Source organism: Homo sapiens, chromosome 10 (genome assembly GCF_000001405.40).
Source record: "Homo sapiens chromosome 10, GRCh38.p14 Primary Assembly".
NCBI lineage: Eukaryota > Metazoa > Chordata > Mammalia > Primates > Hominidae > Homo > Homo sapiens.
The window spans coordinates 25625760-25637880 of record NC_000010.11 but is presented as its reverse complement, the minus strand read 5'-3'; positions in this window follow the sequence as shown (position 1 = coordinate 25637880).

Below are 12121 nucleotides of genomic sequence, written 5' to 3'. Positions count from 1 at the left end.
AACTTTGATGTTAAATTGTCCCAGTAAAAATTACTTGTGTGGTGTCTGTTTTATGGCAGGACCCCAGCTTTTGTAGCTGCTGCTTCATGAGTAGATCATCCTTGCCCTTTGGTCCAGGCCGGCTTCAACTATTCTGTTTGGACCTTGTCTTAATTTGTCTTTGGACTTTGCTCCTTGGCATTGATAAAGAATTAACGCTATGCCTTAAAATTCCCCCTGAATTGGTTTAAGCAGGTTTCATAGCTACGTGAAAGACCATCATCTTGGTAGCAGCATCTACCTTCCCCATCTCTATCCCTCACCCCTGCGTGTCCAGGAAGAGTGATGAGTCAAGTTCAAAAAGTACAAATAAGATGATCTGTCTACAAAGCTGTATGAACTGCAGAAGTATAAAGTACCTGTTGACTCATCACTCCTGTTTGAAGGGATGCAATTGAAATGGTTCTTGGAAGCATCCTGTTGCTGCTTTGGTGCATAGAGGCTGTGCAGCTAAAAGACGCTTAGAACATGTGTGTGAGATTACAGAATGGTAATTACCATTGTTATCAGCATTTATTGAAGGCTTACTGTGAGCCAAGTGAAACTCAGAGATCGAGCAATATGCTCAAATGCATCCAATCAGTAAGAGGTGGAGATACCATTTTTTCTTAGGTTTGTCGTTTCCAGAGCACCCCTGCTTTTTTTTTTTTTTTTTTTTTTTTTTTTTTTTTTTTTTTTTTTTTTTTTGACAGGTCTTCTGTTACCCAGACTGGAGTGTACCACAGCCTCCCAAAGTGTAGGGATTACAGGCATACCCACCATGCCTGGCATAGAGCCCTAGATTTTAAGACCTTCCCTTGAATCTCTTCCCTGCCTAACAGGCAGCACTGCTACTTCCCTAGGAACAGACCTTAGCTGTAGGAGAGGTTTGCTTTAGGAGTCACCATTAGAACTGAGTTGAGTCCCACCTGTTCTTTTCAAACGAGTGAGAATCCATAGCATAATAAACCTTAGACGACAAGCTATAAAGCCAAAACAAGCATCTCATTATCAACTAGCCATTGAATCTGGTTAAGAGCTGTTTCAAAGCCATGGCCAGAATCTGGCCAAAAACCTTTGGTCTGAACATTTCCCTTGCTCCTTTGAGTATTTGCTTGGATTGATTTATTAAAGATCATTGGATTTCAGGTGCTGGGCATCTTTAGAGCCATATAACAAAATTTAGTTTTATACTTAGCTTTCACGAGTTTCACATGAAGACAACATAGAACAGGATCAAGGTAATAGAAAATATATAAAAACCATGGGTGTTAGGAATAAACAATTCAAATAAGGGTCTCTCCAGGGAGGAATAAGTGCAAACTGTTTATGCAACAGATATGCTTCTATAGTTTTGGGGTTTTACATTTAAGTCTTTTTTTTTTTTTGAGACGGAGTCTTGCTCTGTTGCCCAGGCTGGAGTGCAGTGGCGCGATCTCGGCTTACTGCAAGCTCTGCCTCCCGGGTTCATGCCATTCTCCTGCCTTAGCCTCCCGAGTAGCTGGGACTGTGGGTGCCCGCCACCACGCCTGGCTAATTTTTTGTATTTCTAGTAGAGACGGGGTTTCACCATGTTAGCCAGGATGGTCTGGATCTCCTGACCTTGTGATCTTCCCACCTCAGCCTCCCAAAGTGCTGGGATCACAGGCTTGAGCCACCATGCCCGGCCTACATTTAAGTCTTTAATCCATCTTGAGTTGATTTTTGTATATGGTATGAGGGAAGGGGTCCTGTTTTAAGTTTCTGTATATGGTTAGCCAGTTATCCCATTAATTGAACGGAGAGTCTTTTCCACATTGCTTGCTTTTGATGATTTTATTGACTATCAGATGATTGTAGGTATGCAGCTTTATTTCTGAGCTTAGAGAATCACGTTATTAATCACATTTTTCAAGAATATATATTTTTAAAAACATGCATTAGGAGAATGGCCCATTTTCAAGAATCACTGCCTAAATTCTTCTGCAAAGTGAATAATACCTGAATTATGTAAAGGAAATCTAGACTTTCATGTATCAAGTTTGCTTAAAGCGTGATCCCCTATAGCATTATATTTGTCCTATCTGGATCCTAAGGCCAAACTCCTCCCTCCAACCTCCCTATCAGCAACCCCTGTGACTTCTTGATAATATGGATGATCTAGAATTCTCTCCTTTTCGATTTATGATTTGGCTGGCATTCATATAAAATGTCAAACTGCTAGTTCAGATGTGAGAAAGTTGCATTTTTTTTTCCAAACTGTCTTTCATATACAGGTTAATTCCTGCAGTGACCAGAAACTAAGAGTGGGGGTTGAAAGCAAAGGAGAGAAATGAAATATACCAAGAAATCACAGAATAAGCATTTAATTATGACCCACTTATTATTTTCAACAGCATGACCCCTCTGGACAACATTCTTAACAACTTTCAAGTTTAATTTTACCTGTCACCACTCTCTCGGTGACTTCAAATCATCCCAGTAACTTTTACTTTTTCTTTGCCTCTCTTTGGTTTTTGTTTGTTTGTTTGTTTCTGGAATAAACAGTGAAAGGCCCTTTGGGCAAGTCCAGGTACTGACCTGCACAAAGTGAAGCTTGTAATAGGCAAATAAACTCCAGATAAATGAGATTCATTTCTTTTAACTGTTCATGACTTCAACTTGGCTTGCATTTCTACTTCAACAATATTTGATATACATCAGGTGTGAACATTGTTTCTTCTTTTGTTCTTGCAGCAGGTGAATAAGGTGGGATTTGAAATCAGCATGGCAGTGTCCAGTGGAAGAAGGGAGCTGAAGTTTCTTGAGGGTGAGTCATGTGCTACACTCCTTATCTTCATTAGTCCATTGGATCTCATGTTGGCTCCATAATATAAAGAAAGTTTATGAGCAAAGAAATCTGTGAGTGCATTTTTTCTTGTACTAACTGGTTTGTTACTCGCTTAGCTGTAGAGTTTGAATCTAAATAGAGTTAAAGTTATGGTTAGGATTCAGTTTAAGGCCAGGGACTCAGGGTCAGAATGAACTCTATTTTCTTTTTTAATATCAACTATTTAATCTTTTTTTTGTCTTTTTTTATTATACTTTAAGTTTTAGGGTACATGTACACAACGTGCAGGTTTGTTACATATGTATATGAACTCTATTTTCTAATGAGAAAATAGAATTGCAGAGAGATTAAGGGATGTTTCCCATGTCACCCAGTGTATTTGTCTTCTATACGTGCTGTAACAGATTATCGTGCACTGAATGGCTTCAAACAATACAAATGTATTACCCTGCAGTTCCCTAGGTCAGAGTCCAACATTGGTCTCACTAGCCTGGAACCAAAGTGTTGGCAGGGCTGTACTCCTGTCTGGAGCTCTGGCATGGAATTGTTTTCTTGCCTTCTCCAGCTTCTAGAGGAACCTGCATTCCTCAGCTCCTGGTCATCTTTGGAGCCAGCAACGGCAGGTGGAGTCCTTCTTACTTTGAGTCACTCCAACCTCCTCTTTAGCCTTCCTCTTACACTTTTCAGTGTATTTGGGATTATGCTGGCTCCACCTGGGTAATCTAGGCTACTCTCTCACTATATGATAGTCAGCTGATTGGAAACTTTAATTCTCCTTTGCCATGGAATCTAACTTATTCACAGACTTGGAGGAGGCGTACGTGGACATCTTTGGGGAAGGGGCTCATTACTCTGTCTACTCCACCCAACTGCTTTCTGAAGGGGTAAGGAACACACGAGTTTAAGCATTCACATTTTCAGATAAATAAATGAAAGCTGAGAGAGCTGAGAAAACTGTGATGGGGCGGGGGATTTGCAGACTGAGATTTCTGCAAATCTCAGAGGGGAGCACCGATGCTTAGAGAGGTCAGGACACTGTCTTTATACCATTCAGTTGTGTGTTTGGGGGTTTGGAGGTTGGGATTGGATATGTTATTGCTACTCTCCAGAAGAGTGAGAGGAGGAACAGAGATGGAACTTAGCTAAAGGCTGAGGATAATTGACTTAACCTCTCTGGGCTTCTGGTTCCTCCTCTGGGAAAGGGAGATATACATTTACCTATCTCAAGGGTTATTGAGAATTTAAGTGTGTTTAATGCACGTAAAGTGCTTAGTACAGCGCCTGACACACTAGTCAGTAACTATAAATGTTTGTCAGTTTTATTATGAGGTTAATGGAGAGGTAATGTGAGATGCCACATGTCAATTTTATAGTTCTGTGGTTTTTTTCTCTTGGGTCTAGACTCTCATATCCAAGCTTGTATGCCCTCCATTGTACTCAGCAGATTTCTAGAAGCTATTAAGAAGGTGGGGAGGAGGTCAGGCACAGTGGCTTATGCCTGTAACTCCAGCACTTAGGGAGGCCAAGAGGAGTGGATTGCTTGAGCCAAGGAGTTTGAGACCAGTCTGGGCAACATGGCAAAACCCCATGTCTACACCTAATACAAAAATTAACCGGGTGTGCTGGTGCATGCCTGTAGTCCCAACTACTTGGGAGGCTGAGGAGGGAGAATCCCTTGAGCTGGGGAGGTCAAGGCTGCAGTGAGCCGTGATTGCACAACTGCACTCCAGTCTGGGTGACAGAGAGACACCCTGTCTCAAAAATAAGGTGGGGAGGAAAAAGGATCCCTAGGGGTGTTAAATCTGACCTTGACTAACCACTGACATCTCTGCGAACAAAGCTCTTGGCCCAAAGGTTTATGATGCATTTTTTGTACTTTATTAATAAAAATGGCTACAATATCAGGGGAACTAGGACAAAATGGCTAAATACCCAACCTAACTCATAAAAGAAATTCTTTTAAGAATTATTTTATGCACAAATCATGGTTGAACTACAAGGAATTAAAATGAAACATTCTTGGGAATTGAGGTGTGTGTGTGCGCATGCGTGCGTGCACATGCTAAGATACTGAAATATGTCAAGCCATACAAGAATTCGCTTCTGTGGACATAATTCACTTATGCCAAGATACAAGGAGAAATTACTAACATTTAGAAGAGGAAAAGCCAGGTAATGGAGTGGCAGTGAGGAGACGGCAATGTCTTCTCCAGAAAAAAAAAATATGTAGGGAAAGATTAGCAGAGTCTTGAATGTGTCAGAAAGAGTCATCCTCTAGATAAAGGTTACAGGGATTATGTCAGAGAAAGGGAAGGAGGGCAGAGGCCCCGGGACAACACAGCAGTGGGAAGAGTTGGAAATCAAGGGAGCAGACAGGGTCTCCGGAGGATTCTCAAGCACTTTGATGCAAGAATTATTTCCTTTTCAGTGATACCCAAACAAGCATTGCTAATTCCTAGCTCTAAATAGTAAACCCAAAACTCACTGAGTTCTTTATAATTTTTATTTCTGTAACCTACTTTCAATATTTAGGTCATGGAGTTTTGTTTTTTCCAAATGAATATTATTTCTTTTTTGTACTTTGAAAATTACCATCCTCCCAGCAAGTCTGATACAGCTATCTGCATAAAATGGGGGGTCTGGATAAGGACTGTGCAGCTGGGATCTAAAGAGAAAAAGCTAATGCTGAATTTCTGTCATACCAAATAAGATTATGCAACACCAAAAATAAGTTGCGGCTGGGAGCAGTGGCTCACACCTGTAATCCCAGCACTTTGGGAGGCCGAGATGGGCAGATTACTTGAGGCCAGAAGTTTGAGACCAGCCTGGCCAATATGGCAAAACCTCGTCTCTACTAAAAATACAAAAATTTGCCAGGTGTGGTGGTGTGCGCCTGTAATACCAGCTCCTTGGGAGGCTGAGGCATGAGACTTGCTTGAACCCAGGAGGCAGACATTGCAGTGAGCCAAGATTGTACCACTGCACGCCAGCCTGGGTGATAGAATGAGATTCTATCTAAAAAAAGTCTATATCTTTTATATAAAAGATAAAAGTTGCATGCATGGCTTTATACAAAGGAAGAGGAGTTTCTAAATGGCTTTAGGCCTTGCAGACTTGGATAAGAGTTTATTTTTTTGGAGGTGGAGAAGATATTCTTTTCATGTAGAAGAGGGGGAAACTGCTCTTTCTAGCCTGTTAGAATTGTGGGAAAGAGATGGAGAACAAGGAGGTCAGATACAGGGGCTTTCATCCCTCTATCCATTCCAGCTTCTGTGCTTGACCATCTGGTGTGGAGGAGTGGCTTTAGAAAACTCAGAGAGGCATGAGGGAGACCAAGCATATTTAGGTTCATGGCGTAATTCTCCTGGCACGGGGAGCAGAGGAGGCTGCCAGCCATTGGGAGAAACTACATAGAGACAGTTCCAACAAGCCCGGGGTGATGGCATGAAGGTGGGAGCAGACCACAGATGGTTGATCCCTATGGCCTATATTTGGTATGCAAGAGAACCAGATGACTCTGCATGCCCTGGCTATGAGATGTGGAGGTGCTAAGAGCACCCCCGGACTGCAGAGCTCTGGGGTCAGGACCAAAAGGCTACAGAGCTAGGAATTTCTAAACAGGGGGAAAGTTCCTGGGAGTACAAGCTCTAGGGATGGCAGCAACACAGATCCCAAGAGAGGATCTCAGCAGCCGTCACCAGACCAGTGAGCAAACCAATCCCATCATTTGGAGCAGTGAATCCAAAGCCCCAGGATATACCAAATAGACCCAAGGACTCTGTTTCTTTCCACCACTATGAGAGCCCAAAACTCCTCCTACACCCCAAGCCAGAAGTGTAGGAGGGAAAGGAAAGGGTAGAATATGACATTATTTGCATAAATTTCATCATACCAAAGGTGATCCCAAAGAGAGTGAAAGGAGTGAATGTTTATAGACAGAAAGGAAACTGCTTAAATTAGAAGAAACAAAAATAGGCCAAATGCAGTGGCTCACCCCTGTAATCCTCACACTTTTGTTGGCCAAGGCAGGAGGATTGCTTGGGGACTCACCATGTTTCCCAGAATGGTCTCTAATTCCTGGGCTCTATTTAAAAAATTTTAAATTGAGGCAGGAGGATTGCTTGAGCCCAGGAGGTTGAGGCTGCAATGAGCTGTGATTGCACCACGGCACTCCTGCCTGGGTGACAGAGGGAGACCCTGCCTCAAAACAAAAAAACAAATAACTGGCATATCAAAGTTTTCCCTATCTCCCAGAGGGGTAGGAGTCTGGAAAGAAGATGAGGACAATATCAGAGAATTGGAAACTAGATTTTTTTCTGTGGGCCTAAGTATAGGGTAACTCTGCTTCAGTTTGTAAAGTTGTTAATTCTTAAAACTTGGCCTTCAAGCCCATTAAACAAACCAAACATTCTAAATGAAAAATGAAAAATGTAAAGTTATTAGGGATTGGAACTGGGTTTTTTAAATCTTATAAAGGACATTTTCTAGACAACTGCTTTAATTATTCCTTTAGAACTGTTAACAGTGGAGGGTGTCCAGGTTCTTGGCGTCTTGAACAAAGAATTGGACAAAATGCACAAAGCAAGCAAGGAAGGAATGAAGGGATTTATTGAAAATGGAAGTACACTCCCCACAGTGTGGGAGCAGGCTGAGCATAGGGGCTGAAAGGCCCCATTCCAAAATTTTGGGGAGTTTAAATACCCTCTAGAGGATCCCATTGGTTACTTGGGGTATACCCTATGTAAATGAGGAGGATGAAGTAAAGTTACAAAGTCATGGAGAGGATATTTCCTGTGATAGCTTAAGTGTGAATTAGCCTTGGGTTCCCTGCCTTCAGACCCTATTTTCCTGCCTCAGAACCCCTGGCCGTGGGATTTGACTTGGGAAAATACTAAAGCACCTTGTATCCGTCTTTTTATGAACTACATCTCTGCTGGACTTGTTTCATGCTTGCTGGATTGTAAATTCCTCAAGGGAAGTGAATACATTTTCTTTTAGTGAGTATGACACTTTTTATAGTGATCATAATGTAAATTTGGTGGTTAGAGTCCCATTTTCTTCACCAGGGAGACAACGGGCGGGTCTTAAAGCACAGCAAACTGTGCTGGGTATCTGATTATATGCACAGTTATTGTGCCATTGCATCATGACTTTCACGAGTTTGTTGAGGTTTCTGATTTCCTTTTTGTCTCTATACTTTAGGACCCCAGAGTACCCCGTGTATCGAGGCCACTTGGTGCCGCAGTCAGCGGAATGCACTTTGCTGACCCTATTTCTTCTAATCTCAGCTATGATTTGTGCAAGCCATAGTTTCAGTTGTTCCTATTAACTGTTTTTTCTTCCTCACTGCCTCTTATTTTTTCCTTTCATTGCTTCTTTAATGATACTTCTCAGTTTGTTGCTACTGGAACTAGACTTATCAACATCATCTGGTCACCTCAGGCCTTTTCTTTTTCACTGGGCCTTCTGTGCTTTCAGTGTTTTTAGTGTTTCCCAGCTGTTTTGACTGCTGGTCATTGTCAAGTCCTAATCCATTTCCAGATCTGGGGCTGTTTCTGAACTCAGACTGTTAGTGCTCCCACATGTGAAAAATACAGATATTATAATGCTGAAAAGAATCAAGAAGATGAAATAAAAGCATCTGTCAGATGAAGCTTAAAGGAGAACTTAAGAAAATCAAAGTGTGAGTTGCTAAATGGTACTAGACACTGAATAAATGGTACTAGACACTGAATAATGTACTTCGATTTAATATCCTAAAAACACTTTTAAAATGCAGTAACCATCTTTGACCTAGGGGATAAAACATATAGAAGCACAGAAACCTAGGCTTCAGAATTACTTACTTGCTGTTACTTTCCAGTGCACCATCTTCTGTACTCTCAGTTTCAAGAGAGGGTGGCCACGAGGGTACATTGGTTAAAGGGAGTCAGAAAATTTAATTCTGTCCCTCAAAGTGCAACAATCTGGGTTTCATAGTAACATAAACGTCATCATGAGTGGCAGATTTCTTCAGTTTGTAATTCTGCTCTTTCTGAAGTGCCCTTGTAAGATTAGAATGTTTTCTGTACCCGCAACCCATAATTAGGAGGTTTACGCAGAAAGATCTATGGTATCACTGATCCTCATAGAGCCTGAAACAGCTGGTACATTCCAAGAGTAGGTGCAAAATTTAAATTTAAGATGGACCGTATTATGCAGCCATAAAACAAAACAAGGCCATGTCCTTTGCAGCAACACAGATGGAGGTGGAGGCCATCATCCTCGGTGAACTAACCACAGCAACAGGAAACCAAATACTGCATGTTCTTACTTATAAGTGGGAGCTAAATACTGGGAACACGTGGACACAAAGAAGGGAACAACAGACACAAGGCTACTTGAGGGTGGAGGGAGAAGGGGGGTAAGGATCAAAATACTACTTATTTAGTACTCTGCTTATTACCTGGGTGGCAAGGTAATCCATACACCAAACGTCCATGATGCTCAATTTACCTATATAACAAAATAAAATGGGCCAGACGTGGTGGCTCATGCCTGTAATCCCAGCACTTTAGGAGGCTGAGATAGATGGATCATTTTGAGCCTAGGAATTTGAGACCAGCCTGAGCAATGTGGCAAAACTTAATCTCTACAAAAAATACAACTATTAGCCAGGCATGGTGGAGGGTGCCTGTAGTCCCAGCTACTTGGGAGGCTGAGGTGGGAGGATCTCTTGAGTCCAGGAGGTTGTGGCTGCAGTGAGCTGTGATCACACCACTGCATTCCAGGCTGGGCGACAGAGAAAGACCCTGTCTCAAAATAAATATATATATACCTATGAAAAAATAAACTGCTCAGTTATCACCCTCAAGCAGCAGGTAGAATGAAATTATAATATAGACCCTGAAAGAAAGATTCTTCATGAAAAGGATGGTTTCCAATTCTATCAAAAGCCGTTGATTTCCTCAACAATTTTCTCCCCCTCACACACCAACAGGCCCAAAGTAAGGGCTAAAGTGATGGCGTTTAGGCTATAGTTTGGCCAATCTATTGACTAGACTTTCAGTATCAGTCAGCTTTTCCCGGGTTGTGCTGTGGTAACAAACAACTCTATATTCTTACTGGCGCACAAAGTCAAGTCTTATATTTTGCTCCTGTTACATGTTGGCTGTGGAACTGCTGTGCTTTTGCTGGGCTCTGCTTGGCTGTGCTCCATGTGCCTTTTTTATTCTGAAATCTAGGCCAAAGGAGAAGTCTCAATTTAGAACATATGCTGTTCTTGTGGCAGAGAGAGAACAACTAAGCCAGGACCACATGAAGATTCTGAATGCTCTGCTTGAATGTGTCCAAGCCTGAAACCCATGGGGATGGGAATATTCTCCCCAGGAGGGCCCACAAGTCATGTGCCCCTGGGTAAGAACGGCTGCATCTCCCTCTCACAGGGAAAGCTGCATATGAGCAGGAACAAGAATGCAGTCCACAACGTTCCAGCCTCTTGCTTTCTGCCTTTACTAAGAAAAATATATTCACCTCTCCTCCAAAGAAGATGTTGTAAGAGTTTTACTCAGGTACTGAATTAAGCTCAAAGCCCATCATCTCATGACAGTCATCTTATCAGGTCCAGATAAAGCTTTTCTTGATCTGGGGTTCTCTTAACTAAAAGGCAAATTATTGTTCCCTCTGCTCCCTATGTACCCAAGAAACAGGGTGGGGTGGAAAGAGGATGGCCACAGTAAGTATGGCTGTCCTGAAGAGGAAGGAATGTCAGGTAGGTTGGGGGAGTCATAAAATCTCACTGAGCAAATTTTTTTAATGGATTTAGGGGTATAAGCATATTATATGGATATATTACATTGTAGTAGTGTTCTGGACTTTCAGGGTGCCCCATCACCCAAACAGTATACGTTGTACCCAATAGGTCATATCTCATTCCTCACCCACTCCACCTCACCTTCCCACCTTTTAGAGTCTCCAGTGTCTATGAGTCCATCTTTATGTCCAGGTGTACCCACTGCTTAGCTCTCACTTATAAGTGAGAACATGGAGTTTTTTACTTTTTGTTCCTGAATCATTTCACTTAGGATAATAAACTCCAGTTCTATCCATGTTGCTGATAAAGACATGATTCCATTCTTTTATTTTTTATGGCTGAGTAGTAGTCTGTGGTGTACATATATGAACCACATTTTTACTCCAATCATTCCTTGATGGACACTTAGGTTGATTCTACGACTTTGCTATTATGAATAGTGCTGCAACAAACATATAAGTGCAGATGCCTTTTTGATAAAATGATTTATTTCCTTTGGGTAGATGCACAGTCAGGGGATTGCTAGATCAAAGGGAAGTTTTATTTCTAGTTCTTTGAGAAATCTCCATACTGTTTTCCAGAGAGGTTGTACTAATTTACATTCCTACTAAGAGTATAAACATTCCCATTGGGCAGATATTAAGAGCACCTTCCTATCCTGGGAGGAGATGTCTCTTGAATAGAAACTAGTTCATTTCCCACAATTAGCTCCCCAGTAAAATGTGTTTTGTTGTCTTTGTCTCCATTGTCTGGGCAGTACTTCCATTTCCATAATTTTCTTAGCCACATCTGAATATGACCTTGGAGAATATATGACTCCTCGGAGGTGGGGCAGGCTTCCTACTGCCTATCAAAAGCTAGGTGCCAAAAGGCAATTTTACATCTCAAGGCAACTTATTCTTTTTGTTAGAATAATCATATATTCTAATTTGTCCAGAAGCTCTAGTTTATGGCTACTGTCTCAGTATAATGAATAATGCCCCTTTATCTCTAAAAATGCTCCAGTTTGGTTGATGAATTATACAATTATTCTGCTTTTATCCTGTAATTTTTTGAAGAAAAAGTTAACTCTTTATTCATTTTATGTCTATCATCACCATGTGCCAATAAGCATACATGCAATTCTTTTTGAGATAAGCTTTTTTCTTTTCTTTTTGTTATTATTATTTAAGTTTCTTATTATACTGTAAGTTTTGGGGTACATGTGCAGAATGTGCAGGTTTGTTACATAGTTATACCCGTGCCATGGTGCTTTGCTGCACCCATCAACCCATCATCTACATCAGTTATTTCTCCTAATGCTATCCTTCCCCTAGCCCCCCAGCCCCCTGATAGGCCCGGGTGTGTGATGTTCCCCTCCCTGTGTCCATCTGTTCTCATTGTTCAACTCCCACTTATGAGTGAGAACATGCAGTGTTTGGTTTTCTGTTCTTGTGTTTGCTGAGAATAATAGTTTCCAGCTTTATCCATGTCCCTGCAAAGGACATGAACTCATCTTTTTT